The following is a 20384-nucleotide window of genomic DNA, read 5'->3' as shown; positions in this document are numbered from 1 at the left end:
CAGCCTCATGAGTGCGATCAGCTCCATGTCCACCTTTCCTGCTTCTCTTCTGCCTACTCCTTCCCCCGGCCACATGCACTTCTTGACCTCAGACACACCACGTCCACCCTTCTGTCTTGCGCACACAGCTCTCTCGAGAAGCTATCACTGGGACTTCTCATCCCTGTATCTACACATTCCTCAGCGTTGCAGGGAGTGCTGTCTTTTCCAGCACCATATCCCAGGTGCCCAGAGCAACACCTGGTCCTAGCAACGTTGTTTGTTTGTTTGTTTGTTTTTGAGATGGAGTCTCGCTCTGTCGCCCAGGCTGGAGTGCAGTGGCGTGATCTCGGCTCACTGCAACCTCTGCCCCCCAGATTCAAGCGATTCTCCTACCTCAGCCTCCCGAGTAGCTGGGATTACAGGTGACCATCCCCACGCCCGGCTAGTTTTTTGTGTTTTTAGTAGAGACGGGGTTTCACCATGTTGGCCAGGCTGGTCTTGAACTCCTGACCTCAGGTGATCCACCTACCTCGGCCTCCCAAAGTGCTGGGATAACAGGTGTGAGCCACCATGCCCGGCCCTGGCAACGCTCTAATAACTACTGAACAGGCAAAAAGCTCAGTGCTGGGCTGGACAGACTGACACAGATACACAGCTTTTTTTTTTTTTTTTGACAGGAGTCTCGCTCTGTCGCCCAGGCTGGAGTGCAGTGGCGCGATCTCGGCTCACTGTAAGCTCCACCTCCCCGGTTCACGCCATTCTCCTGCCTCAGCCTCCCGAGTAGCTGGGACTACAGGCACCCGCCACCACGCCTGGCTAATTTGTATTTTTAGTAGAGACGGGGTTTTACTGTGTTAGCCAGGATGGTCTCGATCTCCTGATCTCGTGATCTGCCCGCCTCGGCCTCCCAAAGTGCTGGGATGACAGGCTTGAATTGCCGCGCCCGGCCAGATGCAGACTTCTGAGAGGTCCGTGTTTGCAAACACTCTGTGTCTGGACGCATCTTGTCAGTTGGTCTCAGGCCAGACAGAGCCGTTTGAGAGAAAGGTGTGTGTGTAGTGCTCATCTGTCTGCTAGTGATATGAGCTTGGGGGTGCAACAGGCACGTGTCCAGCCCTCCAGTCCCCAAGAACGTTTGTGTTTTAATTAAACAGAGGAACAGACTATTCCACCCTGGGTCAAGCAGGCAGTGCCTACGCTACCTGTGACCACTACTTTAGGCGGGGAAAAGAACCGTCTTTGGCCGGGCGCGGTGGCTCACGCCTGTAATCCCAACACTTTGGGAGGCCAAGGCAGGCGGATAACGAGGTCAGGAGATCGAGACCATCCTGGCTAACACCGTGAAACCCTGTCTCTACTAAAAAATACAAAAAAATTGGCTGGGCACGGTGGCGGGCGCCTATAGTCCCAGCTACTCGGGAGGCCGAGGCAGGAGAATGGTGTGAACCCGGGAGGCGGAGCTCGCAGTGAGCTGAGATCGTGCCACTGCACTCCAGCCTGGGTCACAGAGCGAGACTCCGGCTCAAAAAAAAAAAAAGAACGACCGTCTTTTAAATTTGCTTTAAAAACAGCTCCTTGGCTTTAAAAAAGATTGGTTTTGGGAATTTGGCTAAGTTTATGTTCTCAGCAAACAAATCAGATGCCTCTTAAGAGCCAGGATTCTCCTCTCAGAAGGTTACTACCGTACAGCTGCGGGAGAGCTGTGGGATATGTCATCGTTGAATCAGCAGTTCTAGGAAAAGCGAACGATCTCTACTGGTTTCACGCACACTTGGCTAGCCTCAGCTGAATAATGCAGTCCAAGGAACATAAAAACACAAAAATCGTAAGCGTGAAAAATTTTAGTTCATTGGAAAAGGATTTTATTTCACCATAAAAATGCAAACTGGAATAAACACCATCTTTCCTAACGCGAACGTTACAGCTATTTTTAGGTATTTCTGAGCTTCACTTGGAGAAGCAAACGATTATAAAACAAGTTTGCAGCCTGAAATCTGTTTGAAACATTCCAAGTAAAAATAATTTAGCAAAACAGCTTCTTAAAAAAACCACACACACTAACCTTTACTAGAAACCAAAGCTTTTAACCAATCTTTTTTATGCTTAATTCCTTGACGTTGTAAAAAGTGAATGTTTTTGAAGGAGCATCAGACCATTTTGTACCACTCCCCACATACCGACACCTTAGAAAGAACGGCCCGTTTGAGTTTTGATCTTAAAGGACTTGTACCTTCCTCATCCGTGACTCAATGTCAGCACGACGATTCGGCATCCCACCCAAACTGCACTTCCTGATCAGTTAACATTACAAACGGGGGGGAAAGAATCACCAGGGCAACGCTTTCTTTTCAGTGCCAGTGTGACTATGGTGGCCCGTGCACCTCCTAGGCCGTGCACGCAGGGAGGTCGCCAAGCAGACACAGAAATCCCCGTGTGGGGGAATGCAGCAGCTCTGCCATCCTCACGACTGTCGGTCTGTGCAATTTTCCTGACTGAGAGAGGACCGGCCGCATTAAAGCTATCGGATCAAGTTTTAAAGGACTACGTGTTTGAAACTGAAGTGCCAAGTACGCTGCGGTGAGTGGAGAAAGATGGATCTCTAAAGCATGGTGTCTTCCTTCCTGCCGGCGGGCTCCGTGGACATTCGTGGCTGCAGAAGGGTCTTGGCTTTGCAGGGGTGGACGGAGAGCGGCCAAGGAGCGGCCAGGAGGCTCGAGCAGGTCCTGGTCTTTCCCGGACAGGCCGTGGGGAGGCCGTGCCCGTCATTACCTGTTCCAGGTACTGCGGTGCCTGCTCGGGGACCGGGAGCGCGACCGCTCGCTTCGGCGGCGGTGGCGGCTGTGCTTCCTGCTGGCGCTGCCCCTCCGCTCCCGGCTCCGCTCCCTCCGGTGCCTGTCTTTGCTGTGGGACCTCCGGGACCGGGTGTGGTCCGGGCTCGTGCTGCGCCGGCGGGGGCTGTCATCCTTGTAGGCGTGCTTCTTGTGGGGCCGCCGCTCCTTGCGTGGCCTCCCGTCCTCCCTGCTGCTGGCCCGCCTGGCCCGGCTCCTCTCCCGCTTGTGCCGGTCAGCAAGCCCGTCTCCGGTGGCCCGGCCCCGGCCCTTGCTGGGCTCCCGGTTGCACTTGTCCTGTTCTGACCGGGTGTCCTTTCTGGAGACATTCTGCTCGCAGGCAGGGATGCCCTTGGGCTGTTGGTTGTTGTCAGGAATGCAGGAGAGGACGCCGCCCGGGCACCTCTTCTCTGGAGAGCCATCCTCGGGGACCACACGACAGGAGCTCTGAACCTCCTTGCATGGGGCCTCCTCGGCCACGCTCCCGTTCACGCTTTTGGGAGCGCCGTCGGCCTCTGGGTGGGCCGGGCTCTCCTTGGGGGCACCGGCCGGGGGCTGGCCCCCGAGGGGGTGCAGCGTGGTGGCGCTCACACAGCCGGACGACACGGTCTGCAGGATGTCCAGGACGGGCTGCAGCAGGTCGGCGTGTGCCACGCCCAGCTCGTCGTGTGTGTGGCTGTCGTCCGGCTTCTTGCTCAGCAGGATGCTCAGCAGCCGCTCGCGCAGCTCCCGCTCTTTCCGCTGCAGGCCCAGCGCGCGCTCCTTCTCCTCCTCCACGCGCCGCAGCTCGGCCTCCTGCAGCCGCCGCCGCTCCTCCTGCTGCTGGAGCCTCAGCTTCTCCTCCTTCTGCTCCTGTTCCCGTAGCTTCACAGCCTGCGGGGAAGAGGAAAGTGCAGCTGAGCCCGGTTCCTGAGCCTGGCCGGACACGTGGGACAGGAGCTGGGAAGGTGTTTGGAGGCCCCATGGTCTGGGGATGCAGGATCAGCGGCCTGGCTGGACTCCAGCCCAGGGGTGGGGGGCGTCTCCTACGGCGAGCCAGGTCCAGCCCGTCCATCCCTCGGCTCCCGCGGCCACACCTGGGGCCATCATGCGTCTGAGTGAGAAGGAAACCCCTTGGCAAAGCGGCTCGGCGCAGCCCCAGGGCGGGCCTCTTGGGCAGAGCCGAGCCCTGCCGGGAGCCCCACCACGTTGCACACAGGCGCCTGCGGTTAGGTCACAAGCGGCCGCCAGCAACAGGGAGCTGAGATGACGCCGCAGACGCATGCCACCGCCGTAGCTGCGGGGCGAGCCTGGCCTAGCCTGGGTTAGTGTCTTCAATATTCACCATGAGGTAAGGACTGGGCTGCCACATGTCTCAGCCTCTTGTCATGCTCCTTCCCGGGGACTTATCACAACTGTAATCAGACAACAGGTTATGGGGTCGCCCCGCGTTGGACTCCAGGGGGACGCAGCCCTCCTGAGGACAAGGAGCGTGCCGGGGACGTCTGTCCTGGGGAGGTCTGTCTGTCTGTGGGCCCTGGCCCCGGGCTCATGGGAGTTACCAGTCGCGCCTGCAGGAGGAGCAGGGAGGCTCTTGGTGCTGAGGGGGTCGTCAGTACCGGCGCTGGTGAGACCTGTCAGGTTCACGCTGCGGAGGAGGGACCCGGGCCCACGGCAGGCCCCCTCTGTGCGCTCAGCCCTCCCCCCAGCCCACCTTGCCCCTCTGCTCTGGGCCACTGGTGAGGTCACAGCCAGGCCAGCTGACCACACACAGAGGCGCGGGCCAGAGGGAGCGGCCCCCTGCACTCTCTGCCACTGCCCCGACCCAAAGGAAACAGAGAGCCTCTGCCCTGGCCCCCGGGAGGCTGCCAGCCTGCTCGGGGAACCTGAATGCACCAGCTTTGCAAAAGGAAACCGTCACAGCTCTGAAATCATCGGGAACGACAGACGAGCGCTACACCCTCCCGGGAAGGAGCCGTCATCCTCGGCATTAAAGCTGGTTTCGTAGCTACAGCTGCAGCCGGCGGGGAAACGGCGCCGTGACGCCGCCCGCATTTCAGGGGAGGGCACTGAGGGCAGCCCGGGCGCGGCTGGCGGCTGCAGAGGGAGCCCCCGGGTACCTTGGCTCTGCTGAGCAGCTCGGCGATGAGCCGGATGGACTGCAGGTTCCTCTGGGCCAGCAGCAGCTTGCGCTCCTCCAGCTTGATCTTCTCCTGCAGCTGCTTCTGCTCCTCCGCCTGCAGCTTCTCCAGCTTCTTCTGATTCCGGCGCAGCTCACGGTCCCTCTGCTTCTGCTCCCTCTTGCGAAGCTTCTCTTCTCTTTTCCTCTCTCGCTCCAGCTCTTCCAGCTCCTTTTGTTTCCTGTGTGGAACACACCGGGGGTGGTCACAGAGAGCGCCGCAGCCAACACACCACACACCATACAAGCGGCTTTCCAAACACGGCGGAACAGGCCACGGTCCAACGATTAAGCATTTAACTCTTTATCCCAAGGTGGACCTCGGTTGACTCAAAGCAGCCCGAGAGGTGGAAGGAGTGAGCCGGGCGAGGACCTCCGTGACCTTCCAACACACCGTCCTGCTAAGTGTGACCCAACCCTGAAACCACGAAGAAAACGACCACTGGACCGACCACATCAAAAGCCACGCCCCCAGTCAGGGGAAAGACGGATGGGCAGACGGACGGGTGAAAGAGGAACCCCAGCAGGCCCAACAAGGCCCCGGGATGCACAGCGGCGCGGAGGACGCCGGTTCTGCCCACCAGGAACCGCGCTGGGTGACTCCTTGTTGTGCAGGACTCCTGTGAGGGCACCACACAGCACTGGCACGGGGGGACCTCTCTCTAAACAAATCCAACCACAGCCACGCCACTCAGCTCCTTGCACTTTTCCTGTGGAGAGGGGTGTCCAGGAAGTGAGGATGAATGCGGCCGGGGAGGGGCGCGGTCCCCAGAGAGAGTCCACAAGAGACAGTGGGGAGTTCCCTAGCTCAGCCTCCCCCGCCCCGCAGCTCTCAAATGCATTTCAACCAACACCGGACATGGGAACAAGTCGCAGCTGTTCCTATGGAACACGACACGGAGGCGGAGACTTCTGAAGCCCGGGTGGGCGCCGCCAACCGCCTAGTGAGGCCACAAAGCCCGCCGGGGTGACACAGACCCACGCAGACACCAAGGGGAGAGGAGACACGGGGACAAGGAGGAGCAGGCCGGGAGAAAAGGCATCCCACGCTCTGCCACCCCAAGAAGGGGGCCGGGCCAGGTGCCGACGCCCAGACAGTGATCCACACGGTCTCCGGGCGGGGCATGCAGGTCCTCAGGCAGTTTCATGTGCTGAAGGTTTAACCGCCCTGTGAGCTGTCACCGCCCCACGAGCTCGGAGGGCGGCTCAGGGCAGCCCAGCACACAGCACGCCCTTAGGCGGGACCCACAGCGACGCCTCGAGGCTGGGCAGCTTTCAGAGGACAGCTCTCATCAAGCTCAAAGTTACACGTGAGGGCTGAACAAGCAAACATGCCTCATCTCCACCCACCAGAAAGAAATGCAGGAGGCTGCCCTGGGCCTCCCCTCATGCTCAGCCTCTGAGGAAGGACAGTGGGGGACAGCGGGGACAAGTACGGCCCTGCGTGTGGAGCCCTCCTGGCCAGCTCCCCCAGACAACAGGCCTGCCCCTCCCCGGGGCTCTGGACACCCCATCCTGCTCTCGAGAACCTCATGGCCCGGCCCCGCTTCCCCCAATCCCTCTGTGGTCTGGCCAGGCAGACGGGGTCCCTTCCCTGCAGAGACACACTCCACTACTCCAACGTCCATCTCTCCTCAGGGAAAGATCAAGGATGCAGCTTCTTCTCCGCACCCGCAAGCTGCTTTCTGAAATGTTGCGGGGACACTCCTGCGACACCGAGAGGTCCGAGGCTCTGAGTCCCACTCCACACTTCCAGAATGTGGACAGGCACATTCAGCCAGGCCTGGGCTGTGTCTGCAGCCTGGAAGAGTCCCTGTAACGCCCCAGGACTGTCTCCCACCCCAGCTGTCCTGCTCGGCCTGACAGTGGCTGACACAGGGGACCCGGACTCAACCCCACATCCGAACCGCCCCTCCCAGGGACCGCCTCCCAGGATGGCGACGCAGCAGCATGTCCCTCCCTCCCAGGGCGTCTGCCTCTCTGTGCTGCCTGCCTTAGGTCCTGGGAATCCTGACGGCTGACATGGGCCCCCCCAGCACATTCACGGCCACTCGCTTACACACTGCACCTGCCTCACCTAAGGAGCCCTCGGGGTTCAGATTCAGAGGCTGACAACCCGACTCTCCCCTGGGGAGGCAACGGGGGCTACGTAAAGAACACCACGGGCAGGATGGACCTGCTCCCAGGAGTTCAGTGCCGGGACTCTCGTGCAAACATCACCAGCCACACACATCAACACGCTGGCACCAGCGTCACATAAAGCAGTGAGAAATGGAAACAAAACGGACCAACTCGGTCCCACCAGAGGCTGTCCAGGAGCCCCCCAGCCAAGTCCAACACGTCCCAGACTTGATATCGGCGACATGAAGCGCAACAGACGTGCAGGACGCACCAAAGTCGTCAGAGGACACAGCGGGAGGGACGGAGGACGAAGAGGAGTAGGAGGAGGAGGATTCCGCCTCACTAGGAGGGTGGGAGGGACGGAGAAGGAGGAGGAGGAATCCACCTCACTAGGAGGACACGGCAGGAGGGATGGAGGAGGAAGAGGACGAATCCGCCTCACTAGGAGGGCACAGCGGGAGGGATGGAGGAGGAAGAGGAGGAGGAGGAGGAATCCACCTCACTAGGAGGGTGGGAGGGACGGAGAAGGAGGAGGAGGAATCCACCTCACTAGGAGGGTGGGAGGGATGGAGGAGGAGGAGGAGGAATCCACCTCACTAGGAGGGTGGGAGGGATGGAGGAGGAGGAGGAGGAATCCACCTCACTAGGAGGGTGGGAGGGATGGAGGAGGAGGAGGAGGAATCCACCTCACTAGGAGGGTGGGAGGGATGGAGGAGGAAGAGGAGGATTCCGCCTCACTAGGAGGGTGGGAGGGATGGAGGAGGAGGAGGAGGAATCCACCTCACTAGGAGGGTGGGAGGGATGGAGGAGGAGGAGGAGGAGGAGGATTCCGCCTCAGGGGATTCACAGAAAGTTGTTGGTTCCCTCCTGCAATGCTAAGAAGATAAAAGGGGCTACAAAGAGTGACCTGAGGTTGTCTCTGGTACCCCAACCACAGTGAACGACCCAGGCAATTGCTTTAAAGGCCTCTTATGTGAAACCGGGTTTTTGTCCTATCATTGGTTTTTTGTTTTTTTTTTTTTTTTTAAATCTGGCCATCACCATCAACCCTCTACTTCATTTTGTAAATGTAGCCTCAACCTAAATGCAAACTTGCAAACAGCCAAGGCATTCTGCTTGTTTCAGCGGGAGGTGTGAACAGCATGTGGAGGGAGAAGAGGTGGCTCTTCGGGCAAGGCGCGGTCCTGGGAGCCGGCAGAGATCGTGTCAGACCACGACGTGTGACAAGAAAAAGAGAAACATTCATATTCTGCTGCGTCTCAAACAGCCACTCACGCAGGTCCTCACGTGCACAGCTGAGCACCCACAGGCCTGCACACACACCCATACGTGCACACACAAGTACACACACGGGTTCACAGGCACACACGCATGCACACAGGCACATGTGTGCTATGTGCCGATACAGAAGCACACACATGTGGGCACACGTGCACATACACACACAGGTACACACACGAGCTCACACACATGCACGCACACACAGGCACACGTGCACACAGATGCTCAGGCACACACTCGGGCGCACATAGGGACATACAAAGTACACACACCGGTTCACAGGCACACGTGCGTCCATGCACACAGGTACACACACAAGCTCACAAGCATGCATGCACACACACACGCACAGGAATACATGCAGACACACGCACACGGGTCTGCGCACACTCCCAGGTGCCGGACACCAGCGCCGAGGGCCCGCTCCCGCAGAAGGTACCTTTCCTCCGCTCGCTGCCTCTCCTCCGCTTCCTTCTCTCTGCGCTTTTGTTCTTCTCTTTGCTGCTCCAGTTCCTGAAGCTTCTGCCTCTCCAGCTGCCGCTTCTTAATTGAGGCATCACTCAGGTGTTTGGTCGAATCAAAAGAAACCTTTAAAAGCAAAAACAGTGTCAGATGGCCTTCCCCCAAAACCCCCCAGACACACGGCCAGGCGCCCTCTCCTGGGCCGTAGGGCCGAGTGGCCTCAGAGCCTGAGCGCCCGCTCACCGCTCACCGCTCACCACTCATGTCCGGTGCAGACCCAGACAGTGGAGCCCAGAAGCCAAACCAATCCCTTCAAGTCACCATCAGTGGCTCAAGACTTAGCTCATCCCACGGAGTTACGACTCAGCGAGGAACACCAACTAGCCCTCGCCACTTACTGAACACAAGTGACACGCCACCGCTGCGAGACACAGCTCCCCTTCCGCTACCCGGCTCCACCATTCCCTGTGGCCACAGTCACTGAGCAGGCCGCCTGCCCACACCCACAGGGCACATCTTAAGGCCACAAAACCCCCTCCAGGAGGCTGGCTCATTTGTCACTGTGAAGCCAACACGGTCAAAACACGAGGCTAGGCTGAGCGCAGTGGCTCACGCCTGTAATCCCAGCACTTTGGGAGGGCGAGGCAGGCAGTTCATGAGGTCAGGAGTTCGAGACCAGCCTGGCCAATACGGCAAAACCCTGTTTCTACTAAAAATACAAAAATTAGCCAGGTGTGATGGCACGCGCCTGTAGTCCCAGCTACTCGGGAGGCTGAGGCAGAAGAATCGCTCGAACCCAGGAGGCGGAGGATGCACTGAGCAAAGATTGCGCCACTGCACTCCAGTCCAGGAAACAGATCGAGACTCTGCCTCGAAAAAAAAATAAAAATAAAAAAAATAAAAAAAATAAAAAAGCACATGAGGCTAAAGGGAACGTTCAGCCCTGGTTTCAAGGTGCATTCTGGGAAGGCCGGGTTCTCTTGGTTCTGACACGGTTCAAATCCCTGTCAGAGTTCCTGAGGCTCCATCCCTCACCTACTATATGACCTGTGTCTCCCCCACATCTTCCTTAAGATACCAAATTTCCAAAACCACAGCACGGGACCCCTACTCCACCTCACGCCTGTGCCTCTGAAATTGGACAGGCACAGGACTGTTGCTGCCATTTTACTTAGGGGAGGTCCCCACAGCCTCAGGGGTGTGGCTGGGAGCGTTCTGCTGACCCTGCTGGAAGGAAGTCGCCAGAGGGAGGAAGCGCGTGGCTCTCTCGGTGCCCAGGACTCACCTTGATGTTGCAGGCCACGGCCTTGCCGTCCTCGCCCTTGTACATGAGTTTCATCCCGCGCAGGGCGCTCATGGCCTGGATGAAGCCCATGTACTCGCGGTACTGCACATAGGCCTCGAAGTTCAAGTGCCCCCCGAAACTGAAGGTGTGGAAGTTGCGGCCCGTCATCTCCTCCCGGTAGGGGTCCAGCATGGGGATGTCCACATTCCGGATCTCCCCGAACTTCTCAAACACCTTGACCAGGACGTCCTCGCTGGGCTTCTCGGAGCCCGACTCCTTCAGGGCGAACCACTTGCAGGGCAGCCCCTCCAGGTGGATGGTGTCCGGCCGCTCCCCCGGCAGGGTCTCGTTCATGTCCTTGGCGTCGCGGAAGAAGGAGTCCCAGTCGTGGCGGGTGGGGAAGTCGATCTTGAACTCGGCCGCGCGCACCTTCAGGATGTCGGAGAAGCCGCTGAGCTTGATGGTCTTGCCGTCCAGGCAGGCCAGAAAAGACTTGACCAGGCTCTTGTTCTCCACCTCCCCCTCGAAGCGGATGAAGTCCATGGTGCTCTTGGAAATACGCAGCGTGGAGAACTGGTGGTTCTGCACCATGCCCTTCAGCCTCTCCATCACCTCCCAGTTGGAGATGGACTTCCCCGGCTGCTTCAGCTGCGGGAGTGCCACGCTGATGGTCATCTTGGTGATGGGCTTCAGGTACAAGCCGTAAGCAGGGCAGAGCTCCACGGCCTCAGACGTGTCGTGCACGATGGTAGCCGCTGCCATAGCCTCCGGGACCTTGGGCCTGAAACATAAGACGCAGACAGTCAGCACCAGCACCCCCCACCTCCCCCGCCAATGAGGAGGGGCCAAGCCAGCAGGCACTTTCTGGACCCGGAGAAGAGAAACAGCAGTGTCTCTCTGCCGTGTCAGAGACCGGTTTCCACTTTGTTAACAGCCATCTCAACGGAGTTCTTTACTTTTTGAAATCATTAAGAGTACACCAAAGGGGAAAGAGCCGAGCTGATAAAGAACAGGTTAGTGTCAAAGCCTCGGTCAGCACTGCCCGACACCCTACATCCAGCAGCCAGCAGCTCCCAAGGCCTGCAGAATAGGAAGCTGAGCACGACCAGGCCCCTCACACAGGTCAAGTAGGAACGGGGACGCTACAAACGCCTAGCTCCACGGGAAGGGGCAGAGAGACACTGGGGAAGGGAAGGGGCCAGGGAGAGCACAGCTGCAGGCATCTGGAAAGGTTTTGTGGAGGGGGCGGCGGCCCTGTACTTGCCCTGATAAAACAGGAAGTCTCGGGCTGCAACAACAATCCAGAACCATGAACCCTAGTAATCTCCACGAAGGCCAAACGTATCCCAGCTTTAACCCACTCAAAGCCAAAAAGTACAACGAACTTTCCACAAGTTAGGGGCCGGAGTCCCCCGTCTGCGCCTTCTTTCTCCGCCCACCTTCATTAACCCACCTCTTCCCTGCTGAGCTGACGGGCAGCCACTTCCTGACGGCCAAGTCCAAGTAGAGGAAGCTTCACTCGCAGAAACCCAACCATCTCAGGTGACCGCCTCCGGCCCGGCCGCCCACCCCATCAACCTGGAGGCTTCCTGCCAGGCCCAGGAGACGGCCTCCTCGCCCAAGCCCGAGGTGGGAGGTGCGAAAGAAGGGAGGGAGGGTGGAGAAGCGACCAGAAAAGGTCAGTGGGGCACCAGGGAGGGGCTCCAGTCTGGACAGAGACCAGTGAACCCTCCCCCAGAACCCAAGCGGCCCCAGCAACTTCACCACCGAGGAACCCTCCCCACTCTGGCCTCCAGCGCCCTCCGACCACCCCGGTACACCTGGCTGCCCAATCCCCAGTACGCGGCATTGCCCCTGGTATTCCCACCTACCGCAGCCCCCCAGCATGGCCTCAGGCTGCCGCTGGCACCCCTGGCAGGGCCCCACACATTCTCAGGCCCTTGGCCACTCGGTACCCTCAGCTCCTCAGTTCCCCGCTCCCCACCACCCTCCTGGATGAGCCCCAATACCCCAACCTACACAGCACCGCCCCAGCCTCCGAAAACCCCGGACAGCCCCTTGCTTCCCACTGTAGACCTAGGAGCGACCGCAGCGCCACGTCCCCTAGTCCCAGGCCTCCTAGTCTCCCGCCCATCCGATCCCCCGAGCTCCCAGCCCTCCGACACCGCTCCAGGCCTCAGCTCCTTCGGTGCAGTCCCAGGAACCGCTCCAGCCCCTACCCCTACTTCCAGGGACCCCCGGACCCCGACCGCAGACCTCCCCAGCCCCCGATTCCCCCGTACAGTTTCAGGCGCTCCCAGCCCCCCGGTGGCACCCCACGCCCCCCAACCCCAGCCCCGTCACCTCCGAGGCCCCTAGGCGCCGCCTCCCAAGCCCCGGCCCCCCGGGCCCGGCCCTAGGAGCGAAGCGTTCGCCGGCTGCAGCCAGGCCCGGGAGGCACGGGGGCGGCACTCACCTGCGCGGGGCTCCGCCTGCGTCCCAGGCCGCCGCCGCCGCTGGCCCAAGCTCCCGCCGTCCCTCGACGATCCCCGGACAGGCGCGGCCTCACCGCCGGGAGCCGCCACCGTCCCCCGGAGGCGCCTCCGACGCCGCCACCGCCGTCGCCGCCCGCCCTCTATGACGCATTTCCACTTCCGGCGCGCGGGCTCGCGGAAGAGGCCGCGCGGCAGCACCGGGTTTCTCCTTCTTGCCCTGGCTCCGCCCCCGGGAGGAGGGACTTCCGGGAGCCCGACCTTTTGCACTGCGCGTGCGCGAGTCCGCCCCGCCCCCATGGTGCCACCTGCCTGCGGGTAACCAGGGGAGGTACTTGGGCCAGGGTCTGTGGTCATAGCCCTTAAGCCAAACAGGAGGGGGGCCGGTGTGGGGTCTAAATTCCAATTGTAGAGTCAAATATATATAACAAAATTCTAAAATGTAATAGGATCCTATAACGGGATTCTATACTATACTTGCAAATTATGGGTAATATACTTGAATAATATAATTTATGTATAAATTAGATATCATATTCTATGACGTAATTATAGAATTACATATAAATTGCTAGTTAATTAACTATTAATTGAATGGTTAATAATTATTAATTGTATATTAATAATTATTAACGCATACCATTACATAATGTAATTATGAAATAATAAATGATAACTTACAATGGTATTATGAAATTAATAATAATTTATATTGCAATTATGAAATAAATGATCATTTCTAATTATAAGATAATTTATAATGTAATTATGAAATAAATATAATGTAATTTAAAAATAAATGATAATCTAATGTAATTATGAAGCAAATGCTATTGTATAATATAATCATAATTTATAATGTAATTTTGGAATAATAAATGATAATCTATAGTGTAATTATGAAATAAATGAAAATATATAATGTAATTCTGAAATGATCATTTATAATGTAATTATGAAATAATAAATGACAATTTATAATGTGATTACAAAATAATAAATGAGGCCAGGTGCGGTGGCTCACGTCTGTAATGCCAGCACTTTGGAGGGCCAAGGCGGGCAGATCACAAGGTCAGGAGTTCAAGACCAGCCTGGGGCCGGGCCCGGTGGCTCATGCCTGTAATCCCAGCACTTTGGGAGGCCGAGATGTGCGGATGATGAGGTCAGGAGATCGAGACCATCCTGGCTAACACGATGAAACCCCGTCTTTACTAAAATACAAAAAATAATCAGCCGGGCGTGGTGGTGGGCACCTGTAGTCCCAGCTACCAGCTACTCGGGAGGCTGTGGCAGGAGAATGGCGTGAACCTGGGAGGTGGGGCTTGCAGTGAGACCGTGCCACTGCACTCCAGCCTGGTTGACAGAGCGAGACTCCATGTCAAAACAAAACAAAAAAAAGACCAGCCTGGCCAGCATGGTGAAACCCCGTCTCTACTAAAAAGACAAAAAACTAGCCGGGTGTGGAGGTGGTTGCCTATAGTCCCAGCTACTCAGGAGGCTGAGGCAGGCCCGAGAATCACTTGAACCCAGGAGGCAGAGGTTGCAGTGAGCGAAGATGGCGCCACTGCACTCCATCCTGGGCAACAGAGCGAGACTCTGTCTCCAATAAATAAATAAATAAGTAATGATAATTTATAATGCATTATTCATTTTTTATTATAATTTATTGTTTATTAAGTATGCCATGCTCTATGTGAGAGGTACGTGCTTCTGACGTCCCAAATATGTCACAAGTCCCCAAACTGGATATCCAGGGTCAGATAATCAGAACAGAAATCTTGCATTGCTCAACATCAGCTATCAACAAAGGAGAAAGCCAACACACCAGGGGCCTGAGGAAGACGGAACATTCTGTGAACCCAGGCAGGCTTCAGAGGGGCCGGGCTGTGTAAGAGGGTTGCTATGCCTTCCATGTTTCTGTCCTTCCAAAACTCAAGTTCAAACTCAGTTCCCACTGCAAGAGTATTAGAGGTGGTGCTTTTAGGAGGTGGTTAGGTCATGAGTGGGATTTGTGCTCTTAGAAGACAGGCCCCAGAGAGCTCTCTCACCCCTTCCACCATGTGAGGACACAGCCAGAAGGAACCACCTGTGAACCAGCAAGCGGGTCCTCACTAGACACTGAACCTCCCACTCATTGATCTTGGACTCTCAGCCTCCAGAACCGTGAGACATAAAAGTCTGTGATTTAGGCCGGGTACAGTGGCTCATGCCTGTAATCCCAGCACTTTGGGAAGCCGAGGCGGGTGGATCACCTGAGGTCAGGAGTTTGAGACAATTGTGGCCAACATGGTGAAACCCTGTCTTTACTAAAAATACAAAAATTAGCTGGGCGTGGTGGTGCGCACCTGTAATCCCAGCTATTCAGGAGGCTGAGGCAGGAGAATTGCTTGAACCCGGGAGGTGGAGGTCGCAATGAGCCAAGATTGCGCCATTGCACTCCAGCCTGGATGACAAGAGGAAGACTCCATCTCAAAAGAAGGGGAGGGGAGGGGAAGGGAGGGGAATGGAGGGGAAGGGAGGGGAAGGGAGAGGAGGGGAGGGGAAGGGAGGGGAATGGAGGGGAAGGGAGGGGAATGGAGGGGAAGGGAGGGGAAGGGAGAGGAGGGGAGGGGAAGGGAGAGGAGGGGAGGGGAAGGGAAAGGAGGGGAGGGGAGGGGAAGGGAGGGGAGGGGAAGGGAGGGGAGGGGAGGAGGGGATGGGAGGAAAGAAGGGAAGGGAAGGGGAGGGGAAGGGGGGAGGAGAGGGGAGGGGAAGGGAGCGGAGGAAAGGGGAGGGGGGAGGGGAAGGGAGGGGAGGGGAGGAGGGGATAGGAGGAAAGAAGGGAAGGGAAGGGGAGGGGAAGGGGGGAGGAGAGGGGAGGGGAAGGGAGTGGAGGAAAGGGGAGGGGGAGGGGAAGGGAGGGGAGGGGAAGGGAAGGGAGGGGAGGGGAGGCGAAGGGGGAGGAGAGGGGAGGGGAAGGGAAGGGAGGGGAGGGGGAGGGGAAGGGAGAGGAGGGGAGGGGAAGGGAGAGGAGGGGAGGGGAAGGGAAAGGAGGGGAGGGGAGGGGAGGGGAAGGGAGGGGAAGGGAGAGGAGGGGAGGGGAAGGGAGAGGAGGGGAGGGGAAGGGAAAGGAGGGGAGGGGAGGAGAGGGGAAAGGAGGGGAGGGGAGGGGAAGGGAGGGGAGGGGAAGGGAGGGGAGGGGAGGAGGGGATGGGAGGAAAGAAGGGAAGGGAAGGGGAGGGGAAGGGGGGAGGAGAGGGGAGGGGAAGGGAGTGGAGGAAAGGGGAGGGGGGAGGGGAAGGGAGGGGAGGGGGGAGGGGAAGGGAGGGGAGGGGAGGGGAGGGGAAGCGAAGGGAGGGGAGGGGGGGAGGGGAAGGGAGAGGAGGGGAGGGGAAGGGAAAGGAGGGGAGGGGAGGGGAAGGGAGGGGAAGGGAGAGGAGGGGAGGGGAAGGGAGAGGAGGGGAGGGGGAGGGAAAGGAGGGGAGGGGAGGAGAGGGGAAAGGAGGGGAGGGGAAGGGAGGGGAGGGGAAGGGAGGGGAGGAGGGGATGGGAGGAAAGAAGGGAAGGGAAGGGGCGGGGAAGGGGGGAGGAGAGGGGAGGGGAAGGGAGCAGAGGAAAGGGGAGGGGGGAGGGGAAGGGAGGGGAGGGGAGGAGAAGGAAGGGGAGGGGAGGGGAGGGCAGGGGAAGGGAGGGGAAGGGAGGGGAAGGGAGGGGAAGGGAGGAGGGGATGGGAGGAAAGAAGGGAATGGAAGAGGAGGGGAAAGGAAGGGAGGAGAGGGGAGGGGAAGGGGGGGAGGAGAGGGCAGGGGAAGAGGGGGAGGAGAGGGCAGGGGAAGGGGGGAGGAGAGGGGAGGGGAAGGGGGGAGGAGAGGGGAGGGGAAGTGGGGAGGAGAGGGGAGGGGAAGGGGGGAGGGGAGGGGAAGGGGGAGGGGAGGGGAGGGGAAGGGGGGAGGAGAGGGGAGGGGAAGGGAGGGGAGGAGAGGGGAAGGGAAGGGAGGGGAGGAGAGGGGAGGGGAAGGGAGGGGAAGGGAGGGGAGAGGAGGGGAGGGGAAGGGAGGGGAAGGGAGGGGAGGGGAGGGGAGGGGAAGGGAAGGGAGAGGAGGGGAAGGGAGGGGAGGGGAGGGGAGGGGAAGGGAAGGTAGAGGAGGGGAAGGGAGGGGAGGGGAAGGAAGAAGAGGGCTTGTGGGTATTTGGGGGGGCGTTTGCATTGTGTGAGCCATGATGTCCATAAAGGCTAATATTAATATGATTATGAGTCTCTACTTGACCAAGGAGAAAACAAACACACCAGGGTCCCCAGGACGGGGACCATTCTGTGAACCCAAGCAGGCTTCTCAGTGAGACACACCCCTTTGCTGCCTGCATGTACATTCTTCTTCTTCTTAGGGACACGAAAGCGTTTGGGGTTCTCTTTAAAATTCTTCTCGCTGCTGCTGCTTTACATACCATTGGTGTGTGTTTCCCGGGGGGAGCTGTTAAATTGGGAAACCACTTTGCCACTCAGCTAGTTCCCTGAAGGTATTTGCAAAGCAAATTCAGAAGGAGATATTCACTCCTTCAGAACCAGCAAGCACCAAAGGATGGTTATAATAATCTGGAAAACCTTTAAGGAAAATGCTTGGCCTCCTAAAGCATTTTGGAGCAAAACATCCCTCTCCTGAATGTACCCCAGAAATAAAAAAACAAAGTTCTCGGATATCTGCAGCCGTAATCCTTTGTCATGGGGAGGTAGCCATGAGTCTTTGTTGTGTACCCAGTCTGTATCATTTCCATGAATTGAGCATGAAAGGCAAATAAAAAGATTCTGAGATATCAGTCTCATGATGCTGCAGCAAAGGTGCTGGAACTTTCCAGATGCAATAAGCTCTCTAGTCAACAGACTTCAAGATCATCAAACAGGAGAGTATTCTAGGTAGGCCCGACCTAATCAGGTGAGCACTTTAAAAGAAGGTCTGGGGCTGGGCACGGTGGCTCACGCCTGTAATCCCAGCACTTGGGGAGGCCGAGGCAGGTGGATCACGAGGTCAGGAGTTCGAGACCAGCCTGGCCAAGATGGTGAAACCCCATGTCTACTAAAAATACAAAAAATTAGCTGGGCGTGGTGGCACACGCCTGTAATCCCAGCTACTCCGGAGGCTGAGGCAGAGAATTGCTTAAACCTGGAGGGGCGGAGCTTGCAGTGAGCCGAGATCGCACCACTGCACTCCAGCCTGGGCAACAGAGCGAGACTCTGTCTCAAAAAAAATAAATACATTAAAAAAAATAAATAAACAAGAAAGGCTGGGTGCGGTGGCTCAGGCCTGTAATCCCAGCACTTGCGGAGGCCAAGGCGGGTGGATCATGAGGTCAGGAGTTCGAGACTAGCCTGGCCAACGTGATGAAACCCCGTCTCTACTAAAAATACATTAACCTGGAGGGGCGGAGCTTGTAGTGAGCCGAGATCTGGCCACTGCACTCCAGCCTGGGCGACAGAGCGAGACTCTGTCTCAAAACAAACAAACAAACAAACAAACAGGCTCATGCCTGTAATCCCAGCACTTGGGGAGGCCAAGGCAGGTGGATCACGAGGTCAGGAGTTCGAGACCAGCCTGGCCAACATGGTGAAACCCCGTTTCTACTAAAAATATGAAAATTAGCTGGGCGTGGTGGCGTGCACCTGTAATCCCAGTTACTCGGGAGGCTGAGGCGGGAGAATCGCTTGAACGTGGGAGGCCGAGGTTGCAGTGAGCCGAGATCATGCCACTGCACTCCAGTCTGGCAACAGGGCAAGACTCTGTCTCAAAAACAAACAAACAAACAAAAACAAACAAAAAACAAAAAACACAACAACAACAAAAACAAAAAACAAAAAACACAACAAAAACAAAAAAAACAAAAATAAAAAAACGAGAAGAGTCCACAGCACATTCCTCGGACATTCAGCCTCATTGCCTCTGCTCTAGCTCTTCTGGGAGCATCTGGAAGATCTGGAAGCATCTGGAAGATCTGCGTGCATCATCCTGCTTGTCTATTCTTGGGTGACTTGATGTCTCTTGAGGAGCTGGTTTCTGTGAACTCTGTGAAATCCTCTTGGACCCTCTGCATCTCTTCACCTGAAAAATGGAGAAAAAGGTTTTCAGCTGTTTTGGGTTGACCTGGATGAATGGGAGGAATTTCTGCATGATGCTTCTGAGGTGGGCTGTTTCCCTGAAATATCTTTTTTGTTTTGTTTTGTTTTTTTGAGACGGACTCTCGCTCTGTTGCCCAGGCTAGGGTGCAGAGATGCAATCTCAGCTGACTGCAAACTCGGCCTCCTGGGTTCAAGGGATTCTCCTGCCTCAAGCCGCCGAGTAGCTATGATTACAGGTACACCAACATGCCTGGCTAATTTTTTTTTTTTTTTTTTTTTGACAGAGTCTCGCTCTGTCTCCCAGGCTGGAGTGCAGTGGCGCGATCTTGGCTCACTGCAACCTCCGCCTCCCGGGTTCACGCCATTCTCCTGCCTCAGCCTCCCGAGTAGCTGGGACTACAGGCGCCTGCCACCACGTCCGGCTAATTTTTTTTTTGTTTTTAGTAGAGACGGGGTTTCACCGTGTCAGCCAGGATGGTCTTGATCTCCTGACTTCGAGATCTGCCCGCCTTGGCCTCCCAAAGTGCTGGGATTACAGGCGTGAGCCACCACGCCCGGCCCATGCCTGGCTAATTTTTGTATTTTTAGTAGAGATGGGGTTTCACCATGTTGGCCAGGCTGGTCTTGAACTCCTGACCTCAAGTGATCCACCTGCCTTGGCCCCCCTAATAGCTAGGATTACAGGCGTGAGCCATGGCACCCGCCCTGAAAAATCTGTTTCTTTCTTTACTTTTCTTTTTTTTTTTTTTTTATAAAGATGGGGTCTTGCTATGTTGCCCAGGCTGGTCTGAAACTCATAGGCTCAAACGATCCTTCCACCTTGACCTCCCCAAGTGCTGGGATTGCAGGCGTGGAGCCACCGTGCCCAGCCGGCAAAGTCTGTTTCTGACTCTGTCCACCTGTTCAGAAGTATGCAATAGAAATGGCTCTTTTTGCCATTGAAAGTAATTCATTGGCATTACTTTCAATGGCAAAACCCACAGTTACTTTTGGATGGACCCAAGAGAAACAGGAGAGCAGGTGCAAGGAGCCTATTCCTTCATGGTTTAACTGCTTGCTTCTGACTCTGCCCTTTGAAAGGAGAGATTCAGTGGTGGTTATTGTACAACACACTGGACAGTGATGAACTCACAGACAACCACATACACCTCTCTGTCTGCACCTTCCATCCGTAATACTTTGCCAAGATGGGGTGCCCAGGCCTGTACCCCCACTGCTTTCAGAGGCTGAGGCCAGAGGATCACCTCATCCCAGGAGTTCAAGACCAGCCTGGGCAACCTAGCAAGACCCCATCTCTGCAAACATAATTAGTCGAGTATGCTGGTGCATGCCTGTAATCCCAGCTATTTGGGAGGCTGATTTAGAAGGATTGCTTGAGCCCAGGAATTCAGGATCAGCCTCTGCAGCACAGCAAGACTCCATCTCTACAAAAAAAAAAAATAATAATAATAATACAAAAAGTTAGCCAGGTGTGGTTGCATGTGCTTGTAGTCTCAGCTACTTAGGAGGCTGAGGTGGGAGGACTACTTCAGCCCGGTAGGTCAAGGCTGCAATGAGTTATGATCGCAACACTGCCCTCCAACCCGGGCAAAGGAGCGAGACCTTTTTTCAAAATAATAATGACAATAATCATAATAAGCACAATAATAATCATGCATTTTCTTCCACAGACTTATACAGGGGACGCTGGTACACTTCAAAAGAAAAT

The 20384-nt window shown here is 56.7% G+C and overlaps 1 protein-coding gene across 2 annotated transcripts; it reads right to left on the bottom strand.

Annotated features, from left to right (window-relative positions):
- AKAP17A (A-kinase anchoring protein 17A) lies at window positions 1822-12738 on the bottom strand. Of its 2 annotated transcripts, NR_027383.2 has the most exons (6): window positions 12573-12738; window positions 10118-10898; window positions 8810-8958; window positions 4910-5150; window positions 4135-4204; window positions 1822-3683 (listed from the first exon to the last, which is right to left on the bottom strand). NR_027383.2 is itself a non-coding variant. In NM_005088.3 (5 exons), the coding sequence occupies exons 2-5, from the start codon at window positions 10877-10879 to the stop codon at window positions 2748-2750; spliced, it is 2088 nt and encodes a 695-aa protein (NP_005079.2). In that variant the 5' UTR covers window positions 10880-10898; window positions 12573-12738; the 3' UTR covers window positions 1822-2747. The 2 variants fall into 2 exon arrangements, 1 of the variants encoding a protein (NP_005079.2); NM_005088.3 differs by lacking the exon at window positions 4135-4204.

Source organism: Homo sapiens, chromosome Y (genome assembly GCF_000001405.40).
Source record: "Homo sapiens chromosome Y, GRCh38.p14 Primary Assembly".
NCBI classification, from domain to species: Eukaryota; Metazoa; Chordata; class Mammalia; order Primates; family Hominidae; genus Homo; species Homo sapiens.
Note: the sequence above shows the minus strand (reverse complement) of the source record. Positions and strands in the feature narration are given on the sequence as shown.